Below are 26,676 nucleotides of genomic sequence, written 5' to 3'. Positions count from 1 at the left end.
TAATTCATACACTCTGGACACACTGACCAGAGGCATAAACCAAGTGATGTTTACCTATCTGTTCTTCAGATATCTTCTGTGTCTAAAGGTGTATGCTCGATGAGGTGACAGATGTAAACCTGAGTCAAAAAACACCCAGATTTGCAGCAACCCCAAATTTGGCATAAAAGAGAGTTTCATTCAAAGACCAGCTATTCCATTCCATTTCTGTATTATCTTGGCAACTGAATTAAGGGAGAATTGCAATTTAGAATTCCAAGATTCTTCATCTGAAATGACAATTATACTCATGTCACAATAATATTGGATGAATATACGAAATGACTATTAAAATATATTAATTTAGCAGCTGCTATGAGTCTTTATTAGGTAAAGGGTAAAAAAAAAATATATGTAACAAAATAGACTAATTTTTGCCCTGTATGATAGAACAAATAAAACAGAAAACATTCAGTTATAATAAGTTTTGAGAAGTGCTATGCTTGAGATATCCTCCTAATACCCCTCACACACTCACTTTTTTTCATGACAGTGATCACTTTCTTTCTTTTTTTTTTTTGGATGGAGTTTCGCTCTTGTTGCCCAGGCTGGAGTGCAATGGCACAATCTCAGTTCACTGCAACCTCCGCCTCCTGGGTTTAAGTGATTCTCCTGGCTTAGCCTCCTGAGTAGCTGGGATTACAGGCATGCGCCACCACGCCCGGCTAATTTTGTATTTTTAGTAGAGATGGGATTTCTCCATGTTGGTCAGGCTGTTCTTGAACTCCTGACCTCAGGTGATCTGCTGGCCTCAGCCTCTCAAAGTGCTGGGATTACAGGCATAAGCCACCATGCTTGGCCGACAGTGATCACTTTCTAACAAACTATTAATATATACAGTCACGCATCACTTTGCAACAGAGATATGCTCTGAGAAATGTGTCATTAGGCAATTTCATCATTGTGCAAATATAAGTGTACTTACACAAATGTGGATGGTATAGCCTACTACCCACCTATGCTATATGGTATAGCCTATTGCTCCTAGGCTACGAACCTGTATGGCATGTTACTGTACTGAATACTGTAGACAACTGCAATACAAAGGTAGGTGTTTGTATATCTAAACATACCTAAACACAGGAGAGAAATGGTAAAAATATAATATAAAAGATAAAAAATGGTACACTGGTAAAGGGCACTTACCATGAATGAAACTTGCAGAACTGGAAGTTGCTCTGAGTGAGTGGCGAGTGAACGCAAAGGCCTAGGACACTACTGTACACTACTGTAGACTTTATAAACACTGTACACTTAGGCTACACTAAATTTATAAAATTTTTATTTCTTCAAATTGTTGAATTAGCCTTAGCTTACTATAACTTTGTTACTTTATAAGCTTTTCATTTTTTTTTTTTTTTAGATGGAGTCTCACTCTGTCACCCAGGCTGGAGTAATGGCACCATCTTGGCTAACTGCAACCTAAGCCTCCTGGGTTCAAGTGATTCTCCTGCCTCAGCCTCCCAAGTAGCTGGGATTACAGGTGTCTGCCACCACACCCGGCTAATTTTTGTATTTTTAGTAGAGACGGGGTTTCACCATGTTGGTCAGCCTGGTCTCTAACTCTTGACCTCCTGTAATCCACCCGCCTCGGCCTCCCAAAGTGCTGGGATTATAGGGGTGAGCCACTGTGTCCAGCCAGCTTTTCAATTTTTTAAAACTTTTTGACTCTTGTAGTAGCACATAGCTTAAAATGCATTGTACAGCTGTACAAAAATATTTTTTCTTTATATCCTTATTCTATAAGCTATCTTCTTAAAAATTTTTTAACTTTTTAAACTTTCTTGTTAAAAATTAAGACACAAACACCCATTAGCCTAGGCCTACACAGTGTCCAGGATCATTGGTGCTGGCTTTCACCTCCACATCTGGCCCCACTGGAAGATCTTCAGGGACAATAACACACACAGAGCTATCACATTCTATGATAACAATGCCTTCTTCTGGAATACCTCCTGAAGGACCTGAGGCTGTTTTACAGTTAACTTTTTTTAAATAAATAGGCATATGCTCCAAAGTAATGATAAAAAGTATAGTATAGTAGGCACATGAACCAGTAACATATTTATTATCATTACCAAGTATTATGTACTGTACATAATTTTATGTTATACTTTTATATGACTGGCAGCAGAGTAGGTTTGTTTACAGCAGCATCACTGCAAACACATGAGTAATGGTATTGTGCTACAGTGTTATATTGGCTAGAAAGTCACTAGGTGACAGGAATTTTTCAGCTCCATTATAATCTTACAGCAGGGGTCCTCAACCCCTGGGCCACGTACCGGTACTGGTACAGTACTGGTTCCTGGTTAGGAACCAGGCCACACAGCAGGAAGTGAGCAGCAGGTGAGTGAGCATTACCGCCTGAGCTCCACCTTCTATCAGATTAGTGGTGGCATTACAGCCTTACAGGAGTGTGAACCCTCTTCTGAACTGTGCATGCGAGGGATATAGGTTGCTTGCTCCTTATAGGAATCTAATGCCTCATGATTTGAGGGACAACAGTTTCATCCTGAAACCATAACCCTCCCATCCCCCAGTCCCTGGAAAAATTGTCTTCCACAAAACCACTCCCTGGTGCCAAAAAGGCTGGGGACCACTGTCTTACAGGACCACTGTCATGTATGTATATAGTCCATACATATATGGCACATGACTATAATTTAGTTATATATACTGTCCACCCACCCCCCTCAACATAAACTCCATGAAAACAAGGACTTATTTTTGTCTGTTTTTGATATTCATAGTAGGTGCTCAAAAATATGCTGATAAAATGGTTCAGTCATTATCGAAAACACTATGACAATCAAAGATTAAAAACAGACATTACCACATGTATATATAAAAAACTGAAAGCAGGGACTCAGATAGTTGTATACCCATGTTTGTAGCAGTGTCACTTGCAATTGCCAAAAGGTAGAAGCAGCCCAAGTGTCCAATGATGAATAAATTGATAAACAAAATATTTATCCATATATGACATACTTATCATTCGGCCTTAAAAAAGGAGGAAATTCCAATACATGCTAACATGGATGAATCTTGAGGACGTTATGCTAAGTTAAATCAGGGTCACAAAAGCACAAACAACATATGATTCTGCTTATATGAAGTATTTAGAATAGTCAAATTCAGAGACAGAAAGTAGAATGGTAGATGCCATAGGCCGGGGGAAAGGGGGGTACAGAGTTATTGTTTGATAGGTACTGGGTTTCTGTTTTGCAAGAAGAAGAGTTCTCTGGCTGGATGGTGGTGACGGTACCATAACAATGTGAATGTACTTCATGCCACTGAACTGTACACTTATATATGGTTTAGATGGTAAATTCTATGTTGTGTATTTTACCACAATTAAATATACATGTGTGTATACATAGTTGGTCCTCCTTATCCACAGGTTCTGCATCCTCAGATTCAATCAGCCTCAGATAAAAAATACAGTTAGGCCTACTACAGTTGTGTCTGTACTGAACACGTACAGTACAGATTTTTTTCTCATTATTCCCTAAACAATAACGTGTAACAATGATTTACACAGCATTTACATTATATTAGGTATTACAAATAATCTAGAGATGATTTAATGTATAAAGAAGGATGTAGGGACTTGAGCATCTGTGGATTCTGGTATCCATGGGGGGTCTTGAAACCAACCCCTCCTGGATACGAACTGTATATAGAATAAATGAGCTACTACTACTAATTTGGGGATTTAAAACTAGAAGAGAATAGGCTGGGCATGGTGGCTTACGCCTGTAATCCCAGCACTTTGGGAGGCTGAGGTCGGCAAATCACGAGGTCAGGAGATCTACCATGGTGGCTAACATGGTGAAACCCTGTCTCTGCTAAAAATACAAAAAATCAGCCGGGCGTGGTGGCGCGTCTGTAGTCCCAGCTACTCGGGAGGCTGAGGCAGGAGAATCGCTTGAACTCGGGAGGCGGAGTTTGCAGTGAGCCGAGACCGTGCCACTGCACTCCAGCCTGGGTGACAGAGCGAGACTCCGTCTCAAAAAAACAAAACAAAACAACAACAACAACAAAAACTAGAAGAAAATAATATATGAGACAAGAATAACACAGAAATTGGTGGATATTTTGGAGTTCAAGTATTTTAAAGTCTTAAGGTTGAGTTTTGTTAAGCATGCATATTAAAAAAGGATAATAGCAGAAACCAACCTAGGGGAGAAAAAGGGATAAGGTGAATTTGCACAATAAAAAAAGATATATGTGCAACTATTATATGTCAATCAAAAATGTTTAAGGCGTAATAGAAAATAAAACATTTTTTATGAGCAATCATGATAAATGCCACTGAACTATACTCACCTATTAAAATAACAGTCAAACAAGATAAACGGATGTAAGCCCAGCAATATGCTCTTTACAAGACACAGATCTGAAACATAAAGACACAAGGGGGTTAGAAAATGAAATTCTTAAGAAATACAATAAAACTTGAAAAGCAATATTATCAGACAAAAGAGAACCCGGACTAAAAGGCATTCACCAGGATAAAGAGGTATGTTTCTTAAGGTGGTAGACTGGAATTTTAGTCCAATTCCTCACACCCTCTAATAGATTATTATTCATACTCTTTGCGAGGTAACTTTGCTCTCCAACTGTGGGCATAATTGATTTTAGGCTTAGCCATGTGACTTGCTCTGGTTGAGGCAATCTCTCTTGCGCTCTGGTGACCCATCAGGAGCAGAGCATGCCCTGGCAACAAATGTCCTTTTGGCCTGAGACCCTGAAAGAACACATGCGGCGCAGATCTTAACTCGTCACGCAGCCTATCCACTCAGCCAAGCCCCACCTAGATCAGCTGAACACAGTCAATGCGCAAGCCTGTGAACAGGAGAGTAAGGACTTGCTGTTGTATGGCATTGAGTTCAGGGGTGGTTTTTAGACATAATTATTATCATGGCAATAGCTAACTAACATACATAAAAGCAGCAAGTCATAAGATAATAATGAACCTGAAAAGTTCGCCAAGGAATAGTGGAAAATTACAAAGGGCCAAGGGCTACTAGGGTAAAAAAGACAGCAAAGAAGACTACAGAGGAGTGGCCAACAAGGAGGGAGGATCAGTAGAAAACAAATAAGTGTTTTTCAAGCCGTTACCAACTGTGCCAAATGCTACAGAAAAGCCAGCTCAAGACAAGAACTACTAGACATATTACAATCACGCACACTTCGCCACGTTCACACTCGCTACAGCCTTAATCATAATCACACACATATCACACATTTCATCATAATCCCGCGCAACCAAATATCACAATCACCCCATCAGATTATTCGTGCCGTCACACTCACACACACAACCACACACCCACACTAACTCCCATCACAGTTTTTTGTCCCATCAACTGCAACCACTCACCATTAGCGTACCCTGAGCACTCCCCACTGCCGCTACTCGGGACACTCTGGGCCTTAGAGGATCCGTGTCCCGTCAACCGCGAGTCCCTTGCTCGCCCCCTGCTGCGGGGACTCGGCAGCGTCACCTGCCGGAAACACCCGAATGTTCATCCCGCGCGCAGTTTCTGAGATGCTGGGTGAAGGCGACCCGCAGATAGGTCTGTGACAGACGCCTAAAGCGCCGAACCATCCCTCCGCGCCAGCGACGTTTCCGAGGACAACACCTCCCAGCAGGCCCCGCGGCCCCACTCAACTTCCGGCCAGAACACATCTGCTTTCCTGTGTGAGGGTGAGGCTTGGGCCGGGTTCCCCGGGAGGCTCATCTCCATTGCGCAGCGCTACGGCGACCCGCAACTCCGAGGCTCGGCTGGATGTTGAGAGTTGAGGGAGCAGCCGTTTCGGGTGGGCCCAGGCGAGGAGCTGACAGGAATCGGCGTGGGTCCCGCTCTGGACTACATTTCCCAGAGGGCCTGGTGGCCTGCCACTTTTCTCGCAGGAATTCGAACGTTTCGTCACTCCTGGCGGGACCCTTAGATCTGGGAGGTGAGATATTTTGGTCCCCAGGAGAACTGGCTCAGGTCTGCAAGTTCCCATCCGGGATGACTGGAAAGGGCTTAGGTGAGGATACCGAAGACCGATGGGGAGCTGGCGCCTTGGGCCCCTGCGGGCGGAGCGGCCTGAAAGGTGGAGGTTGTGTTTGGGAGGCCGAGGCAGGAGGATCACGAGGTCAAGAGATCGAGACCATCCTGGCCAACATGGTGAAACCCCATCTCTACTAAAAATACAAAAATTAGCTAGGCATGGTGGCGCGCGCCTGTAATCCCAGCTACTCGCAGGCTGAGGCAGGAGAATCACTTGAACCCGGGAGGCGGAGGTTGCAGTGAGCCGAGATCGCACCACTGCACTCCAGCCTGGCGACAGGGCAAGACTCTGTCCCCACCCCACCCCACCCCCCCAAAAAAAGAGGGGAGGTTGTGAAATTGTCTGGGAGATAATAACACTGCGGCTTATGTGCGGATATGGGATACCTGTCACTGTGGGGGTTGTGGCTGTGTGTTCCCGTGGTGATGTGTGATTGTGACTCTGCGACAGTGTGGGGTGCCTACGATTGTGCAGCTGTAATTGTGTGTTTCCTATGGTGTGTATGTGATTGTAACTGTGTTGCCGTGTGTGGCTCCTTGTGGGCAGGTGAGACGTGCATGTCGCCTTAAGTGTGACTGTCCCTAAATGTATGTGGCATTCTGTGTATGAGTATGGGGTCCTGTCAACTATGCGATTGTGACTCCAGAACTCTGTCTCTAGGAAACCTCTCTGAGGTCTGGTCAGATTCCAACCCTGGACAGCAGTGAACACAACCTTTCCCCTGAGCCACTGGAATTGGACAGAATGCCCCATTCTCCTCTGATCTCCATTCCTCATGTGTGGTGGGTAATGGGGCTGGGGAAGAACTCTTACTTGACTAATCTGGGTACCAAGAAAAACCTGGTGTCTCACAGTTACTCTTCCCTCTCCCAATTTTACCTTTCTCCAGGTGTCACCCAGAAGAGGAGGAAAGAATGCATGATGAACTTCTACAAGCAGTATCCAAGGTGTGTTGGGGTTTCCTCTTTTTCTTCTGAAAATTCTTGCTTAAAGGAATGTCATTTAATTATAGGTCCCTATAATTTTCCCATCACAGAAAAGGATGGTTGCTCCACTTATGCTTGCTGAATTTTCTTCTCAAATATTTATTCTGATTTAAAAATAAAAGGATGATTAATTTAGAGATCTCAAAAACACAGCATTACCAAGAAAAAATAAAATTTAGCCACTCAGATAACTAGGGTTAATATTTTAATGTATTTTCATTATTTGTCAAAAACCAAATTTTATTTCATTTACCATTTGATGTTCTACATTTTTGCAAAAAGAAGTGTCAGAAATATTCTCCCATGTCATCAAATGGTCTTGGGAAATACATTTTTGATGTTTGCAAAAACTATGATATACAAATCAGACATGCCAGACTTTTAAATCCTCATTTGAATATATATCTGTACTTATACCCGCCCACCCCCACAGGTTTGAATTTGGGTTTCCGTGATTAATAATAAAATTGAACATATTCCATATGTTTATTGGTTTTTAGTCATCTTTTGTGACATGTCAGTTCAAATCTTTACTCATTTTTCTCTTGGAATAGCTCTTATTGATTCGTATGAGTTATTTATGTAATCTGGATCTCAGTCCTTTATTGATTGTTTTCCTACTATTTGGACTATTTCATCATTTCCTGTAAGATGATTTTATGATAAGTTCTAATTTTTAAAAAGCTGAGTTTATCAATATTTTTTCTTTATGGTTAGTGCTTTTTGTATCTTTTTAAATAAATCCTTCCCTGTCCCAAGGTCATGCAGATACTCTCCTATATTTATGCTTAAAGCCATAAGTTTCACTTTCATGTTTAGATATTTTATATAGTTGCAACTGGTTTTTGTATATGTTATGAGGTAAGAGTCAGATTCCCCCCTCCTTATTAATACCCAGTTTATCAATACCATATATTGGAAGGTCTATTGTGTTCTCATTGGTCTTCAAATATACCTAGTGTCTATATGTGCATGGGTATGTTTATGAACTCTTTATTCTCTTCCACTGATTTTTTATATTCCTGTGCCAGTATCATACAGTCTTGATTAGCTCGTCTCCCTTGATGGTAATCTGCCTTGTCTTCCTCTGACTGTTTTGTTTTTGGCTTTCTGTAATTTTAGTGTAAGATATATAAATGTGTTTTATTTGTCTGCTTGGGATTTGTAGAGTTTTAAAATTTATGGATGGATATCTATTATTAGTTCAGGAAAATCTTCAGTCATTATACCTTCAAAAAGCCCCCGTATCATTCTCTCCCCCTTTCCTTCTCAGGTTCTAACTAAACATATGTTAGAATTTCTTCTTCTTTTCTGTGTCTTATCTCTTTTTGGTTTTTAGAGTTGATACTTATAGCTGAAATCAAAGCAAACAAAAGAACCTTGCCTCATCTCAGGAGGGGGCAGTGGGCATGGCAGGCAATTACAGAGTTTTTGGATTCTTCCTCCAAGTAATAATAAAAATATCTTTATTCAGTTTGTGTTTCAACACTTCTAATCTTGGGGAACTCACTAAATTGTAAGGTTATCCATTCACCAGGTAATCATTTTATCTGAAAATTAGAGGATACATACTAGGATAGAGGACTCAGAATAGTGACAATGTTTTCTCAAGGTGTAAATTTGGAACTCTGAGTGGGCCTACTCTCAATTTTTAAATTGTATGTGTTTGGTACAGATGCAGAGAAAATCAGGATAAGAATAAGTCTAACTAAGTATTTTGTGTAAGGCCTTTCTATCTGAATTTCTTTTAAAGAGGACTGAGTCTTCCCTCTCCTGTGCCAAAGCCCAAATAGAATATCTGCTTCCCCTCTTGCATCAGTCTCTAGTTACACTTCTCATTTCTATAGAGAAGATTGTTGCCCAGTATTAACGGGAATAACTAGGGACATGTAGTATACTGTAGTAGACAATAAATTTTTATTTTTTTTGGGACAGAGTTTCACTCTTGTTTCCCAGGCTGGAGCACAATGGCATGATCTCGGCTCACCACAACCTCCACCTCCTGGGTTCAAGCGATTCTCCTGCCTCAGCCTCCCGAGTAGCTGGGATTACAGGCATGCGCCACTACGCCCGGCTAATTTTTGTATTTTTAGTAGAGACGGTGTTTCTCCATGCTGGTCAGGCTGGTCTTGAACTCCCAACCTCAGGTGATCTGCCCATCTCGGCCTCCCAAAGTGCTGGGATTACAGGCATGAGCCACTGTGCCCGGGGGACAATAAATTTTAAAAGAAATAAAATTTGTTTTCAGAACTTAATCTAATGTTTAATCAGGAAATATTTGAAACATCAAAATATTTGAAAATTAGAAGTAAAACAAGGATATACCACATTACCAATGTTATTTAACATTGTTTTATAGATATTAACCAAAACACTTACATAAGAAAAAAAATTAGGTTAAAAATTACAAAAGAGGGCATAAGATTATCGCTTTATAGATGATGTGACTGTGTAACTGAAAAACCAAATCTGCTTGTGATCAGCATTTTGAAATAAGCAGGATTCCATATGAAGCAAGCAAAAGAAAAACTTTTTCCTCATAATTTCTACTCTCAACCCTCTCTGTGGGTTAATTTTTTTGTTGCCCTGGATAAGAACTGGTATAGACTATAATTTTTATCACTCTTTGATGTCCTTTGATTGTTTTCAGTCAAAATCTAGTCTCATTTTACTAATTACAACCTCTAGTTCACTGTAATAATATGTGAGTTTCATTTAAAGCCTCTTCTCTGAGCTGAGAATTGCTTCAAGCTTGCAAAGTATGAAAAGGGACATAATTAAGCTTCTTGATTTCCTCGCCCTGAGCTTCTATTTCTCCTGCCTAAGTCAGTCTCTGGATCCTATGAGATTAGAGCAGGGGTAGGGAAGAGGAGGTAAGGAAAAGAAAAGTCTTTCTTGACTTGTTTTGGTGTTGATCTCTTTTGCCTTGATGGATGTTCAACACTCCTTTGTTAGGAGACACTATTAAGAGTCTCTCAGAGAAGCCCCTGCTGGAAACCTCTAATTGCATTTCCTGGGATATGCACAGCATGTCTTCTTGAAATGGCTACTTATGACATCTGTCATACACTTCTGCATTCTGTGATCCATTCCTTTGTTGAGGTCACTTTGTCCCTTTATTGGGTCCACATCTAGTCCAAAGAGGGAAATAGGTACTAATCTTTGTGCCCCCTAAGCTCCAGAGAATACAGCAAAAATTATTCCAAAGTATCTCATCATTCCACTTTGGACCCTGGAGTCTAAAGGGGCCCCCTTGCTTGTCCTAAGGTGAGGGAGAAGTACCCTCATTTCTCCTATCAATTGGGAATGTGTGTCCTTTTATAAACAAAATTTTTGGGACACTAACTGAGTGTCCTATAGTTTAACTGAATTCTGACACTACCCAGAGTTAACATAGACCCCATTGCTTAAGAGGCTCAGTCCCAGCTGGTCATGCCTATAATCCCAGGACTTTGGGAGGCCGAGATGGGAGGATCACTTGAGGTCAGGAGTTTGAGAACAGCCTGGACAACATGGTGAACCCACATCTCTACTAAAAATACAAAAATTAGCTGGATGTGGTGGTGTGTGCCTGTGGTCCCAGCTACTCAGGAGGCTGAGGCAGAAGCATTGCTTAAACCTGGGAGGCAGAGGTTGCAGGGAGCTGAGATCGCACCACTGCACTCCAGCCTGGGTGATGGAGTAGACTCAGTCTCAAAGAAAAAAAAAAAAGACTCAGTCCCACAAGACTGTACCTGCTTCAGACACCAGCCACAAGTCTAAGGCACTGCACTTCTGCCTAGCCAGCCAAAAATTTAGAGGTTCCCGTAACTCTCCTTCAGGTTCAATAATTCATTAGAATAACATATAGAACTCAGGAAAGCACTATACTTATGATGATAGTTTTACTTTTTTGTTGGTTTCTTTGTTTGTTGGTTTTGAGATGGCGTTTCACTCTGTTGTCCAGGCTGGAGTGCAACGGCACAATCTCGGCTCACTGCAACCTCCGCCTCCCGGGTTCAAGCAATTCTCCTGCCTTGGCCTTCTGAGTAGCTGGGATTACAGGCATGCGCCACGACACCTGGCTATTTTTTGTATTTTTAGTAAAGATGGGGTTTCTCCATGTTGGCTAGGCTGGTCACAAACTCCTGACCTCAGGTGATCCACCCCCCTTGGCTTCCCAAAGTGCTGGAATTACAGGCATGAGCTACCGCACCCGGCCTGATTATAGTTTTATTACAAAGGATACAACTAAGGAACAGCAAAATGGAAGAGATGCATAGGGCAAGGTATGGGGAAGGGCCTGCATATCTGGAAAAGGTCTTAAAAGTATTTTTGCCTAAGAAAATGTCTGAAATGAAAGATTCATTCAGTAGTATTTATATTGTGGAAATTTCTGCTACCATAAGGGTATAAAAGTTGAATTTGTTTATGTTAATAGGGAATAATTATGACAGTCTTATAAGAATTGTAATTTCCAAGAAACTTAAAGTATGCTGTTGTCTAAGTGATACTTTAAATTTATGTTTAACCCATTTCGCATTTTAAAAATTCAAGAAATGGGCCAGGCGTGGTGGCTCACGCCTGTCATCCCAGCACTTTGGGAGGCTGAGGCAGGTGGATCACTTGAGGTCAGGAGTTTGAGACCAGCCTGACCAGCATGGTGAAACCCTGTCTCTACTAAAAATACAAAAATTAGCTGGGTGTGGTGACCGGCGCCTGTAATCCCAGCTACTCGGGAGGCTGAAGGAGGAGAATCGCTTGAACCCGGGAGGTGGAGGTTGCAGTGAGCCGAGATTGTGCCACTGCACTCCAACCTGGGCAACAAGAGCGAAACTCCGTCTCAAAAAAAAAAAAAATTTTTCAAGAAATGTTAAAAGACATGAAAAATGGCAGGGCATTGTCCCACTAACCCAATCCTACTCCCCTTAGGTGGCTACTCTTTTTGCTGTTTCTCTTAGCATTTTTCCTATATTTCTAATTAATATTCCTATATTGCTATTTTTTGATACATATTTTCCAGTGATTTCTAGGCAGGTAACTATGGATTGAGATTTCCCATACCACAGTCTTCATTTTTTGTCCATGCAATAGAATTATATCACAATTTTTCTTTTCTTTCTTTCTTTTTTTTTTTTTTGAGACAGAGTCTCACTCTGTTGCCCAGGCTGGAGTGCAGTGGCGCAATCTTGGCTCACTGCAACCTCCGCCTCCCAGGTTCAAGTGATTCTCCTACCTCAGCCTCCCGAGTAGCTAGGATTACAGGCGTGCACCACCACGCCCAGCTAATTTTTGTATTTTAAGTAGACACGGGGTTTCATCATGTTGGCCAGGCTGGTCTCGAACTCCTGACCTGGTGATCCTCCTGCCTCGGCCTCCCAAAGTGCTGGGATTACAGGCATGAGCCACCATGCTCGGCTCATAATTTTTCTTTCAATCATTGCTATCCCTGTGATTAGGACCTTGCAGACATTGTTGCAGACATTAGGACCTTGCAGACAATGTGAGCCAAGTAAAACACCAGATTCTGGATTCTTTCTAATACAATTTGTATTTTTCTCAGAGGAAATTGCCTTGTTTCTTCTTTTGCCCGGTTTTATGTATGTGTCACTATTTTTTTCAAATTCTCTAACATTGCTGTCAGTTGCCTGTCAATATTTTCTACATGATGAAACATACTAGCTCCTTAGTTTTCTTTGGAGATGTCTTTCCTATAGTCCTCACTTCTTCTGTTCCTAGATGCTGTTCTCTCAGTCTGCTGCCGGATGATGTTCTAGGATTTGCCTTTTATAATTATACTGGCACTTTCATCACCATTTTCATGTTAGTTTTACAGTTTCTTAATATAGTACCTTTTCTTTTTCCTAATTTACTACCTAGTTTTGATGGAACATGTAGCCTAGTAGCTTCCTAAGAAAAGCCACATTGGAAGTACTTTTATCATTCCCTGCAGATTTAAAATTGTCTTGATTTAATCTTCATAGTGGCTTAGTAATCTGACTGGCTATAGAATTCTAGGTCAGAATTTATTTTCCTTTATAATATTAAAGGAATTGCTTGGTTTTTTCTTATTTCAAATGATGCTATTGAGAAGTCTATTGCCATTCTGATTTCTGAAAACTTATGTGATCTGTGTTTTCTTCTGGAAGCTTTTAGAAACTTTCATTTTTGTTTTCCCCTGATATTCTGAATTTTTACTCCATGTATTATAAGGTGTGTTTGAAAGCCCCTCCCATTTTCCCCTCTCTTGGGGCATAAAGGGAAAGCGGGGAGGGGGAAGAAACTCACTAATTGAGCTGAATGCATGCTATTTCATATCACTGGAAAAGTCCAGTCTATTTGTATATCCCTTTGTACACAGGACGTATATCTTCTGATATGATAGGATTCACCCCCTTTAATTTTGCTTACTCTGTCCTTTCTTGCCACCTCTACCGCCATCTTTTTCTTTTCTCCTTTCATTGTGAAAGCATGTTTGTTGTTTCAGGGGCCGGTGATGTTCAGGGATGTTTCCATAGACTTCTCTCAAGAGGAATGGGAATGCCTGGACGCTGATCAGATGAATTTATACAAAGAAGTGATGTTGGAGAATTTCAGCAACCTGGTTTCAGTGGGTAAGGATAACTATTCCCCAAAATTCAGAGTGTGCCCTTGGAAGTGTCTCCTTTCTCCATTGTGAATTATTTGCTTCATGTAACCAGCTGAATTTCTGCTCCCTGTTCCCTAAGGAATGGTTTGAGTTAAAATAGAATGGAAGAGTTGGAAGTGGGCAGCTCCAATGGGCTGTGGCTGAAGCTTCATCTTCTCCATCTTTCTCCGGTCCTTCTTGTAGTGGCATCTCTCCTTTGATCACTAAGGGACTGGATCTGATTTCTGGGGACCCCACAGCATAACCATGTCCCATGTCTTTTCTTGTGAACAGGACTTTCCAATTCTAAGCCAGCTGTGATCTCCTTATTGGAACAAGGAAAAGAGCCCTGGATGGTTGATAGAGAGCTGACTAGAGGCCTGTGTTCAGGTAAGTAAGAGATGATGGCTCAGGAGCAGGGCTATAAAGAGATATACTTCTGAGATGTTATCAGGAAGCTCCCTTTAAAGGCCTGAAGCCTCTTCCATATAAGCTATCCCACTTTTTTTTTTTTTCTCATACTTTTTCCCTAGTCCAATATAGCAAGTACCTCCCTGGCTACAATTATGCTATAATTATTCTAGTCACATTTTAGTTTCATTCCTTCCTATGATACGCTACGTTTAGATTTGTATAACAGTAGACATTCCCACCCTGAGAAATAGATGTAAGTGCATGTGTGTCTTTTTCTTTCCCTGTGCTTGTTTTCATTTTATCTACTTTCAGCTATTTAACATCTTTGACCAGTTTGTTCTGGATTTAAAAGCTCATTCTTTCATTTATCAAACATTTGATTATTTCTTACTTGAAAACAAAATTGAAGTATAACATACACACATAAAACTGCATGACTATGATTGCATAGTATGGTGAAATTGAGAATGGTGAAACCACTACTAGGACGATAAATAGAACATTACTAGCACCTCAGAACCCCTTCTCTGCCCCTTCCCAATCACCAGCCTCTTTTTCCTCTCTCAAAATAAATACCATCCTGACATTTGGCACCATGGATTCGTTTTGCCTATTTTTGAACTTTGTATAGACGCAATCACACAGTATTTAGTCTTTTGCCTTTGGCTTTTTTTGCTCAACATTATGTTTATGTGACATATCTATGGTGCTGCATATATCTGGTGTTAGTTCATTCTTATTGGCTATGTTATATTTCATTCTATGAATATATACATATATATATATATATACATTTTTTTTTTTTTTTTTTTTTTTTGAGATGGAGTCTTGCTCTGTTGCCCAGGCTGGAGTGCAGTGGTGTGATCTCAGCTCACTGCAACCTCTGCCTCCTGGGTTCAAGCGATTCTCCTGTCTCAGCCTCCCGAGTAGCTGGAACTACAGGCCTGCGCCACCACGCCCAGCTAATTTTTTGTATTTTTAGTAGAGACAGGGTTTCAACATGTTGGCCAGGCTGGTTTCAAACTGCTGACTTCAGGTGATCCACCCGCCTCAGCCTCCCAAAGTGCTGGGATTACAGGCGTAACCCACTGTGTCCTGCTTCATTCTATGAATATTTTTTAAATTATGCTTTATATATTATTAATTACTATAAGTGTCCTTCTGTTGACAGTTGGTTTGTTTGCAGTTTTTAGCTATTAAACATAATGCTGCTGTGAACGTTCCTGTGTATAACTTTTGGTAAATGTATGTACACATTTCTTTTAGGTATATACATAGGAGTGGAATTACTGAGCAATAGGATATGTGTGTGTTCAACTTTAGTAAATATACCAATTTTCCAAAGTAGTTATACCAATTTGCAGTTCTACTAGCAGTATGAAGGTTACTATTGCTCTGCATTCTTACATTCTTACCAGTTATTATTGCCAGGCCCTTTAATTTTAGTTATTCTGATGTGTGTGTTCTGTGACATGCCTGTTTAAGTTTCTTGGCTAAACTTAGTCGGTTGTCTATCTTTTTCCTGTTGGTTTCAAAGAATTCTTATTATATTCTATGTATCAGCCCTGTGTTTGGTTATACATGATGTAAATATCTCCCACCACTTTATACCTTGCCCTTTACTCTTTTAATAGTACCTTTTGATGAACAGAAGTTATTAATTTTAATGTGGTCACAGTTATCTTTTTCTTTATAGTGTTGCTTTTTTGTGTCCTGGATAGGAATCATTGCCTACCCCAAGGTCTTGAAGATATTTCCTATGTTATATTCTAGTAGCTTTATTGTTTTACTTTTTCCATTTAGATCTACTTTCCTGAAGTTGGTATTTGTATGTGTTGTGAGGTAGGGGTCAAATTTCATTTTTTTTCCATGTGAATATCCAGTTGACTTCTTAGTGTTTATTGAGATGACTGTCCTTTTCCCATTCTATAGAGATAGGACTATATCTATCTTTTCCCCAATAGAAATAGGACTACCTTTGTCATAAATCAGGTATTCCTATTTCTGTGAGTCTATCTCTGAATTCTGTTCCTTTGGCTTATTTGTCTATCCTTGTGCCAATACCACACTATATTAATACTGTAGCATGTAATAAATCTTATCTAGTAGAGCAAGTTCTCCTGCTGCTGCTTAGTCCTTTGCATTTTCATTGTAAATTTTAGTATTAGGCCGGGCGCAGTGGCTCACGCCTGTAATCCCAGCACTTTGGGAGGCCGAGGTGGGTGGATCACCTGGGGTCAGGAGTTCAAGACCAGCCTGGGCAACATGGTGAAACCCCATCTTTACTAAAAATACAAAAATTAGCCAGGTGTGGTGGCGGGCACCTGTAATCCCAGCTACTCAGGAGGCTGAGGCAGGAGAATCGCTTGAACCAGGGAGGCGGAGGTTGCAGTGAGCCGAGATCACACCATTGCACTCCAGCCTGGGGGACAAGAGCAAAACTTGGTCTCACAAAAGAAAAAAAAAAAAAATTTAGAATTAGCTTATATAGTCATTTGAAACTTAATCAAAATGCCAAGTTATTTTTTCATGAGAATATTAATATCAGTTTGTGGAGAATTAAGATTTTTAAATAGCAAGTCTTATAAAAATGTTTGACTTTTTAATTTTATACACTAGTCTGCTAGGTGCTGTACAGTTTAGAAAATGTGTAGGCTTATTAAGAAACTTGTTATCTAATGTAGGAGCTAGAACATTGCTGTAAATAATTTCTACAGGATAAGATTCATCAATGAGAAGATCAAATAGGACGCTCAGAAGAAAGTTGTAAAACAGTCAAAAAATATGGAAGTGGAAATTGATCCAAGTAGAAGTTAATGGTTGGAGCCCTAGAAGTAGATGTTGTTACCTATGGAGTTAGCGTTGGAAATAGAAGATCCATGTGTCCCTTGAGAAAGAATTCTAGATTTAACAAAGCTCTAGGAACCTAGGGAGGAGTTTGTGAATCTTCACTTTTTCCCAGCTATCAGTTGATCTTAGCTGCCTTCAAGTATTTTTATTTCTGTCTCTCCTACCACTTTTCCTCCCTACCAACTTGCTAATTCACCCCCTTCTTAATCTTACCTTAACCTTGTACCTTTGTACTTGAAAGGTGGTCTCTGTTTATTCCTTTTTCATTTTAAAATAATTAATTTTCATTAAAGTAATATATTTACAGAGTTTGAAATCACAGTGTTATAAAGCTTATATTGAAAAACAGCAGCCCAGACCAGGCGCGGTGGCTCACACCTGTAAACCCAGCACCTGGGAGGCCGAGGCGGGCAGATCACTTGAGGTCAGGAGTTCGAAACCAGCCTGGCCAACATGGCAAAACCCCGTCTCTACTAAAAATACAAAAATTAACCGGGCATAGTGGCAGGCGCCCGTAGTCCCAGCTACTTGGGAGGCCAAGGCAGGAGAATCGCTTGAACCCAGGAGGTGGAAGTTGCAGTGAGCTGAGATCATGCAACTGCACTCCAGCCTGGGCAACAGAGCAAGACTCCATCTCAAAAAAAGAGAAAAAAGAAAAACAGCAGCCTGCTTTTTCACATATACATTCCTACCATGACTGCCCCAGTCCCTCTCATCAAAGATAATACATTTTCAACTCTTACTTTCATTCTTCTGATACCTACCTTCAAATTTTGCATAGTATGTTTTGTCTTTCTGTGATACATCAAACTATAAAAGTATTTCTTGATGTCTTTTTCTGATAGTTGAGGGCTGGTCTCTCGTAATCACTGTATGTATCTTGCCTATAGCAATATATTCATAGTTTATATCCTGATTACACAAATGTTGTTATAACTTTCCTGTTACCTACTTAATGTGCATCCCCATTGGTGTTATGCCTTATGTTTATTTGTATTGTAGTTTGTACTTTCTATTTTCATATCTTTGCTTAATAATAGTCACTTAGGAGTGTTTTTACATATTCTTCCCAAGTTCAAATACTGGATTGAAAATAAACCCATCAAAACTGAGATGTCTTTTTTATGTATCAGTTTTACATTTTGGAACAATTGGTTTTTTTAAGACAAAACTATTGTTATTTTTTTTTTCGAGACAGTTTTACTCTTGTTGCCCAGGCTGGAGTGCAGTGGTGCAACCTCAGCTCACTGCAACCTCTGCTTCAGCCTCCCGAGTAGCTGGGATTAGAGGCACCTGCCACCATGCCCGGCTAATTTTTTTATTTTTAGTAGAGACGAGGTTTCCCCATGTTGGCCAGGATGGTCTCGAATTCCTGACTTCAGGTGTTCCACCCACCTTGGCCTCCCAAAGTGCTGGGATTACAGGTCTGAGCCGCCGTGCCCAACCTATAATTTCCTTGATAACAAAAGCATATCTATTACATTTCTGTTATGATTATTCCCAGATAGTCTCAACTACTCAAATTATAAAGAAAGATGTGGGAGGTAGGTAATTGAGAACTGTGATATATAAACATTTTAACAGACTCCTGACATGTGATACCACTCCCCCAATAGCCACCCACATTCCTTATAAGCCTTTATAAAAAGGACAGAAATGCCCTTTTGCACATTTGTGCCCTGCACATACTATAACTAAAATTACCCTTGACCCAAAAACAAAACAAAACAAAACCACATGTATTTATTTATATTACCCAAAGGTATAGCCATCCTCTAACATAAAAAACAAGGCATACATATTAAATAATAATGGCATATTTGTTAAAACTATTCTTAGAAATCAATGTTTTAATACCTTATGTTAGAAATCATCCAGGTTTTCGAGGATTATCTATTAATTTTTCTTACTTAATGTCCATTTTCTTGAAGTTGACTAAAAATCTTGACTACTGTATTTAAACTGACACACTACAGAGCAACACAGTTACTTTTTTTCTTCTTCTTCTTTTTTATTTTTGAGATGGAGATTCGCTCTGTCGCCCAGGCTGGAGTGCAATGGCGTGATCTCGGCTCACTACAACCTCCGCCTCCCGGGTTCAAGCGATTCTCCTGCCTCAGCTTCCCAAGTAGCTGGGATTACAGGCGTGCGCCACCATGTCCAGCTAATTTTTGTATTTTTAGTAGAGACGGGGTTTCACCATGTTGCCCAGGTTGGTCTCTAACTCCTCACCTCAAGTAATCCACCCGCCTTGGCCTCCCAAAGTGCTGGGATTATAGGCGTGAGCCACTGCACCCGGCCCAACAGTTACTTGGATGTCAAAAAGTCTGACAGAACTATAATTTGATTTGGTTTAACACATAATTGTATAGTTTTTATTATTTTATTTTATTTTATTTTATTTTATTTTGAGACAGAGTCTGGCTCTGTTGCCCAGGCTGGAGTGCAGTGGTGCATCTTGGCTCACTACAACCTCCACCACACCCGCCTCTCCCAGGCTTAAGTGACCCTCCCACCTCAGTCTCCCTAGTAGCTGGGACTACAGGTGCACGGCACCATGACCGGCTAATTTTTGTATTTTTTGTAGAGATGGGATTTTGCCATGTTACCCAGGCTGGTCTCGAACTCCTAAGCTAAAGTAATCCGCCTGCCTTTGCCTCCCAAAGTGCTGGGATTACAGGCGTGAGCCACAGCACCCGGCCTAGTTTTTATAATCTTAAAATTTACATTTTGCACTGATAAAATCAGGAGGAAGATGTATAGCTATTTTTAAACCAGAATTATTAAGCCAGTCTTTTTAAAAATTTCTGTTTTTGAGCTAGCAGTTCTTGTGAGGTTGTGGGGTTATTTTTGCGGGGTGCGGGGGGGTACTTGTTTTTTTTTTTCTTTTTTTTTTGCAATTTTATAACTATTTGATGTATTTGACAATCAGTGATTAGTTCTCATCCACATTGACTGTCTGTAGATTTTTGAAAGTGGTAACAGATACATAGATAACCAAAGTATAGAGTTTATTTGGTGAATCTTCATCCCCATTACGTATTCTGGACAACCGCACATGGATTCGTTATGGGACATTCCTTATTCCTTTGGCCCAGACAGCTTTGTTGAGCCTGGTATCAGTGCGCACATCTGGAGTTCCCATCTCCTTCATGGCAAATTTCTGAATCTCTTTGAGTGTCCGAGGGGCACGCTTCTTGAAGCCCACTCCATGGATGCGCTTGTGCATACTGATGGTGTATTCTCAGGTCACCACCTTGTGGATGGCAGAACGGCCCTTTTTCTTCTCACCACCCTTCTTTGTGGGAGCCATTCTGCCGGATCCAAGTTGGAAAGACTTGTTTATTTTTTAAGGCTAGCACATTCAAACTACTAGAAGTTTTCTGTGACTGTCTTTGCACTACAATCACACACTTGGATAGCCCACAAAGCTGAAAATATTTGCTATCTTATTCTTTATTTAAAAAGTTGCCCAACCCCTGCTCGCTATGAACCAGAGTAGCACTCCTTTAATTTTGTTGTTTTATTTTCAGCTTTATTAAGGTATAATTCACATACCATATAGTTCACCCACATAAAATGTACAATTCAGTGATTTTTAATGTAATAGAGTTGTATAACCATCACCATAATCAATTTTAGAACATTTTTATCACCTCAGAAAAATCCCTGTACACTCTAGCTGTTATTCCCACCCCCTCCAGCCCCAGGCAACCATGAGTTGATTTTCTCTATGGATTTGCCTATTCTGGACATTTCATATAAATGGAATTGTACAATATGTGGTCTTCTGCAAATTCCCTATTTCATAACTTAATGCTTTTCAGGGTTCATCCGTGTTGTAGCATGTATCAGCATTTCATTCCTTTTTATTGCCAAATACTATTCCATTTTATGGATATAGCACATTTATCCATTGATCAGTTGATGGACATTTGGGTTTCCTCTTTTGGGCTATTTTGATTAATGTTGTATGAACATGTCTATAAGTTTTTGTGTGGACATAAGCTTTCAGTTCTTTCAGGTTTCTACCTAGGAGTAGAATTGCTGGGTCATATCATAACTCTGTGTTTAGCCAGTTGAGGAACTGCTAGACTCTTTTCCAAATTGGCTGCACCATTTTACATGCCCACCAGCAGTGTATGATGGTTCCAGTTTCTCCACATCATTTGCTAACACTTGTTATCTTTTTTTTTTTTTTTTTTTTCTGAGACAGTCTCGCTCTGTTGCCCAGTCTGGAGTGCAATGGCACAATCTTGGCTTACTGCAACCTCCACCTCCTGGGTTCAAGCAATTCCCTTGCCTCAGCCTCCTGCGTAGCTGGGATTACATGCTCATGCCACCACACCCAGCTAATTTTTGTATTTTTAGTAGAGATGAGGTTTCAACATGTTGGCCAGGCTGGTCTTGAACTCCTGATTTCAAGTGATCCACCTGCCTCAGCCCTCCAAAGTGCTGGGATTACAGGAGTGAGCCACCACACTTGGCCTGGTTGTTTTTATTTATTTATTAATCTTTATTTTTAATTTTTTGGGTACATAGTAGGTATGTATATTTATGGGTTACATGAGATTTTGATACAGGCAGGCAATGCTTATATCAGGAGAAATGGGATATCTATCACCTGAAGCATTTATCCTTTGTGTTACAATCTTATTGTACTCTTAGTTTTTAGGGGAATTTTTTTTTTTTTTTTTAAGACAGAGTCTCACTCTGTCACCCAGGCTGAAGTGCAGTGCTGCAGTGCTGTGATCTCTGCTCACTGCAACTTCTGCCTCCCAGGTTCAAGTGATTCTCATGCCTCAGCCTCCCAAGTAGTTTGGACTACAGGCACATACCACCACGCCCAGCAAATTTGTGTGTGTGTGTGTGTGTGTGTGTGTGTGTGTGTGTGTGTGTGTGTGTGTGTTTAGTAGAGACAGAGTTTTACCATGTTGGCCAGGCTGGTCTTGAACTCCGGACCTCAAGTGATCCACCCACCTTGGCCTCCCAAAGTGCTGGGATTACAGACATGAGCCACCATGCCCAGCCTCTTTTAGTTATTTTTAAATGTTCAATTAAATTATTTTTGACTACAGTCACCCTGTTTTGCTAGCAAATACTAAGTGTTACTCATTCTTTCTATTTTTATATGTGTTTAAAAAAAAATTTTTATATGAACCTTTTTTTAAAAATTATTGTATAAATTCTAGGTGTACAACATGATGTTTTGATACACATACATATTGAAATAATTACTATAGTTAAGCAGATCCTATCAAATAACTATAATCTTTTCTTCTTTCTTTTTTTTTTTGTTTAGGGTAAGAGTACTTAAAACCTACTTTCCTGACAAATTTCTAGTATACAATAGAGTATTACTAACTATAGTCCTCCTGCTATACATTAGATTTCTCATGAGCTTTTTTTTTAGTTTTTATCGATACAAATTATACATATTTATGGAGCACAAGCAATATATTGATACATTCATACAACGTATAAGGATCAAATCAAGGTATTTAGATACCCATCACTTTGAATATTTATCAATTGTTTTATACATACATATATATATATGTATTTTTTTTTCTTTTACTAATAGAATGTACCCAGTGTCATTTTTTGTGTATGTGAGAGAGTTTCACTGTCAGCCAGACTGGAGTGCAGTGGCCTGATCACAGCTCACCGCATCCTTGAACTCCCAGGCTCAAGTGATTCTACCACCTCAGCCTCCTAAGTAGCTAAGACTGCAGGTGCATGCCACTATACCTAGCTAATTTTAAAACTGTTTATAGAGATCGGGGGGGGTCTCCCTATGTTCCCCAGGCTGGTCTTGAACTCCTGGCCTCAAGTGATCCTCCTGACTTGGCCTCCCAATGTGCTGGGATTACAGTTATGAGCCGCTATGGCACTGCTATTAAGTTTTTTTGCTTCCTTGTTAATTCTGGATATTAGTCCCTTCTCAGGTGAAGAGTTTGCAAATATTTTCTCCCATTCTACAGGTCTCTTCACTCTGCTGATTGTTTCCTTTGCTGTGCAGAAGCATTTTAGTTCAATATAGTCCAATTTGTCTATTTTTTTGTTGTTGCCCCTTATTGAAAATATCTTTGAGGTCTTATCTAAAATATATTTGCCTATTCTTCTGAAGTGTTTCCCCTATGTTTTCCTGCAGTAGTTTTATAATTTGGGGTCTTATAGTTAAGTATTTAATTCATTTTGAGTTTATTTTTGTATATGGTGAGAGATACAGTCTAGTTTCATTCTTCACTATATGGATAACCAGTTTTCCCAGCACCATTTATTGAACAGCGTGTCCTTTTCCCTATGTCTGTTCTTGGCACCTTTGTCAACCATCAGTTGACTATAAATACATGGATTTATTTGTGGGTTCTCTCTTCTGTTCCATTGGTCTTTGGGTCTATTTTTATGACAGTACCATGCTGTTTTGGTTACGACAGCTTTGTAGTATATTTTGAAGTTTGATTCTTCCACTTTTGTTCTTTCGCTACAGATTGCATTGGCTATTTGGCATTTTTTATGGTTTCCTACAAATTTTAGGATTTTTTTTCCTGTTCATGTAAAAACTGACTGGCATTTCAGTCGGGATTGCATTGAATCTGTAGATTGCATTGAATCTGTAGATTGCTTTGGGAAGTATGTTCATTTTAACAATAGTTCTTCCAGTGCATAAGCATGCAAATATCTTTTTATTTGTTTGTTGTCTTCAATTTCTTTTGTCTGTGTTTTGTAGTTTTCCTTACAGAGGTCTTTCACTTCATGGTTAAATTTATTTCTAGGTTGTTTTTTGTAGCTATTATATTAATAAATGGGATTGTTTTCTTGATTTCTTTTTCAGCTAATTCATTATTGTGGATGTATAGAAATCCTTTTTTTTTCCCTTTTTGAGACAGAGTTTTGCTCTGTCTCCCAGGCTGGAGGAGTGCAATGGCATGATCTCAGCTCTCTGCAGCTTCCACCTCCTGGGTTCAAGCAGTTCTGCCTCAGCCTCCCACGTAGGTGGGACCACAGGTGCCTGCCACCACACCTGGCCAATTTTTGTATTTTTAGTCAAGACAAGGTTTCACCATGTTGGCCAGGCTGGTCTCAAACTCGTGACCTCAAGTGATCCACCCACCTCGGCCTTCCAAACTGCTGGGATTATAGGCGTGAGCCACCGTGCCCAGCGTACTACTTATTTTTGTATATTGATTTTGTATCTTGCAACTTTACTGATTTCATTGATCAGTTCCAAGAATTTCTGGTGGCATCTTTAGGTTTTTAAATATATGTAAGATCATGTCATCTGTAAAGGGACAGTGTGACTTTCTATTATCCAATCTGGATGCCTTTTATTTCTTTCTCTTGCCTGATTGCTCTGGATAGGACTTCCAGTACTATATTGAATAATAGTGGTGAATGTGGGCTTCTTTATCTTGTTCCAGTTCTTAGAGGAAAAGCTTTCGGCTTTTCCCCATTCAGTATGGTGTTAGCTGTACGTTTGTCATATATGGTCTTTATTATGTTATGTTTTTTAATGCCTAATCGTTGAGAGGTTTTTATAATGAAGAGACGTTGAAGTTTATCAGATGTTTCTCTGCATCTATTGAGCTGATCATATGGTTTTTATCCCTCATCCTGTTGATCTGATACATCATGTTTATTGATTTGCTTATGTTGAGCCATCCTTGCACTTTTCAGGAAAAATCTCACTTAATCGTTGTATATTATCTTGTTGTTGTATTATTGGATTTCATTTGCTAGTATTTCATTGAGGGGTTTTGTGTCTATGTTCATGAGGGATATCACCTCTTTTTGTTGTTGTTGTTGTGTCCTTCTCTGGTTTTGGTATCAGGGTAATGCTGGCCTTGTAGAATGGATTAGGAAGAATTAACTTCTCTTCCATTTTTTGGAATAGTTTGAGAAAAACTGAGGTTAGTTATTTGTAATTTTGGTAGGATTCAGCAGTAAAGCCCTTTAGTCTTGGGCTTTTTTTGTTGGGAGACATTTTACTATTGCTTCAATCTCATTACTCGTTATTGGTCTGCTCAGGTTCTTCTGCTCTGTTTCTTCCTGGTTCAGTCTTGGTAGGTTTTCATGTATCCAGGAATTTTTCTGTTTCCTCTAGGTTATCTGATTTGTTAGCATATAGTTGCCTGTAGTAGTCTTTGATGATCTTTAATTTCTTAATTGACCCAATGGGCATTCATGAGCAAGCACATTGTTTAAATTTCCATTTATTTGTGTGGTTTACAAAGTTTTTGTTATTGATTTCTAGTTTTATTCTAGTGTAGTCTGAGAAGATACTTGATATGATTTCAATTTTTAAAAATTAGTTATAACTTGTCTTATGGCCTAACGTATGGTCTCTTCCTGGAGGATGTTCCATGTGCTGATAGGAACAATGTGTATTCTGCAGCTGTTGGATAAAATGTTCAGTTAGTGTCTGGTAGGTCCATTTGGTCTAATATCCAGTTTAAATCCAAAGCTGTTGATTTTCTATCTAGATGAACTGTCTAATGCTGAGAGTGGGATGTTCAAATCCCGTACTATTATTTTATGGGAGTCTACCTTTTTTTGTTGTTGTTTTTTTGAGACAGAGTCTAGTTCCGTCGCCCAGGCTGGAGTGCAGTGGCACAATATTGGCTCACTGCAACCTCTGCCTCCCAGGTTCAAGCAATTCTCCTGCCTCAGCCTCCTGAGTAGCTCGGATTACAGGTGCATGCCACCACGCCCAGCTAATTTTTTTTTCTTTCTTTTTTTTTTTTTGACAGTCTTGCTCTGTCACCCAAGCTGGAGTGCAGTGGTGCGAACCCGGCTCACTTCAGGCTCCGTCTCCCAGGTTCACACCATTCTCCTGCCTCAGCCTCCCGAGTAGGTGGGACTACAGGTGCCTGCCACCATGCCTGGCTAATTTTTTGTATTTTTAGTAGAGACGAGGTTTCACCATGTTAGCCAGGATGGTCTCAATCTCCTGACCTCGTGATCTGCCTGCCTCAGCCTCCCAAAGTGCTGGGATTACAGGCATGAGCCACCGCGCCTGGCCACACCCAGCTAATTTTTGTATTTTTAGTAGAGACAGGGTTTCGTCATGTTGGGAAGGCTGGTCTCGAACTCCTGACCTCAAGTGATCCTCCCGCCTTGGCCTCCCAAAGTGTTGGGATTACAGGCATGAGCCACCATGCCCAGCCCTATCTCTCTTTTTAGATCTAATAATATTTGCTTATATATCTGGGTGCTGCAGTGTTGAGTGCCTATAAATTTAGAACTTTATATCCTCTGGCTGAATTGACCCATTTATCATTATATAATGACCTTCTTTGCTTCTTTTGCAGTTTTTTACTTAATGTCTGTTTTATTTAAGTATGGCTACTCTCACTTGCTTTTGGTTTGTTTGTGTGCAGTATTTTTTTTTCATCTCTTCACTTTCAGTCTATGATTTTATATATAAAGTGAGTTTCTCACAGCCAGTATATAGGTGAGTCATATTTATTTTATCCATTCAACCAGACTGTATCTTTTAAGTGGGGAATTTGACTGTTTACATTCAAGGTTATTATTAATAGGTGAGGATTTATTCCTAATCTGTTAATTTTTTATGGTTGTTTTATATCCTTTTTCTTTCCTCTTATCATTTGGTTTGGTGGTTTTATGTAATGGTTACATCTGAGTCCTTTCTCTTTCCATTTGTGTATCTGCTCTACCAGTGAGCTTCTTATTTTCATTTGTTTA

At 40.0% G+C, this 26,676-nt stretch overlaps 2 protein-coding genes and 1 pseudogene across 12 annotated transcripts in view, besides 2 other annotated features; 1 reads left to right on the top strand and 2 right to left on the bottom strand.

The window, feature by feature from the left end:
* Window positions 1–5,688, bottom strand: part of ZNF568 (zinc finger protein 568) — an 81,601-nt gene extending 75,913 nt beyond the window's left edge. For 6 of the 8 annotated variants that reach the window (NM_001204838.2, NM_001204839.2, NM_001204835.3 and 3 more), the window contains exons 1-2: window positions 5,429–5,688; window positions 4,372–4,441 (exon numbers count right to left, since the gene is read on the bottom strand). The gene's annotated coding sequence lies outside the window, so the exon portion shown is untranslated. Of the gene's footprint in view, window positions 1–54; window positions 270–4,371; window positions 4,442–4,552 lie in introns of all 8 variants that reach the window. The other 2 variants (XM_047438787.1, XM_017026772.2) reach the window with 2 other exon arrangements.
* Window positions 5,604–5,983: an enhancer, noted in NCBI's record as "active region_14537". NCBI's record gives its function as "activates an Ori minimal core promoter by ATAC-STARR-seq in GM12878 lymphoblastoid cells {active_cell/tissue: GM12878}" and the evidence as "EXISTENCE:reporter gene assay evidence [ECO:0000049][PMID:35858748]".
* Window positions 5,729–26,676, top strand: part of ZNF829 (zinc finger protein 829) — a 28,168-nt gene continuing 7,220 nt past the window's right edge. The window contains exons 1-5 of one of the 4 annotated variants that reach the window (XM_011526933.3): window positions 5,729–5,755; window positions 6,769–6,890; window positions 6,998–7,055; window positions 13,561–13,687; window positions 13,996–14,091. In XM_011526933.3, coding sequence (XP_011525235.1) covers window positions 6,853–6,890; window positions 6,998–7,055; window positions 13,561–13,687; window positions 13,996–14,091 — 319 coding nt within the window. In that variant the 5' untranslated portion in view covers window positions 5,729–5,755; window positions 6,769–6,852. Of the gene's footprint in view, window positions 6,225–6,768; window positions 6,891–6,997; window positions 7,056–13,560; window positions 13,688–13,995; window positions 14,092–26,676 lie in introns of all 4 variants that reach the window. The other 3 variants (NM_001037232.4, XM_005258876.4, NM_001171979.2) reach the window with 3 other exon arrangements.
* Window positions 6,044–6,093: an enhancer, noted in NCBI's record as "active region_14536". NCBI's record gives its function as "activates an Ori minimal core promoter by ATAC-STARR-seq in GM12878 lymphoblastoid cells {active_cell/tissue: GM12878}" and the evidence as "EXISTENCE:reporter gene assay evidence [ECO:0000049][PMID:35858748]".
* On the bottom strand, window positions 19,862–20,301 carry RPL31P61 (ribosomal protein L31 pseudogene 61; annotated as a pseudogene).

Source organism: Homo sapiens, chromosome 19 (assembly GCF_000001405.40).
Source record: "Homo sapiens chromosome 19, GRCh38.p14 Primary Assembly".
Lineage (NCBI taxonomy): Eukaryota > Metazoa > Chordata > Mammalia > Primates > Hominidae > Homo > Homo sapiens.
Note: the sequence above shows the minus strand (reverse complement) of the source record. Positions and strands in the feature narration are given on the sequence as shown.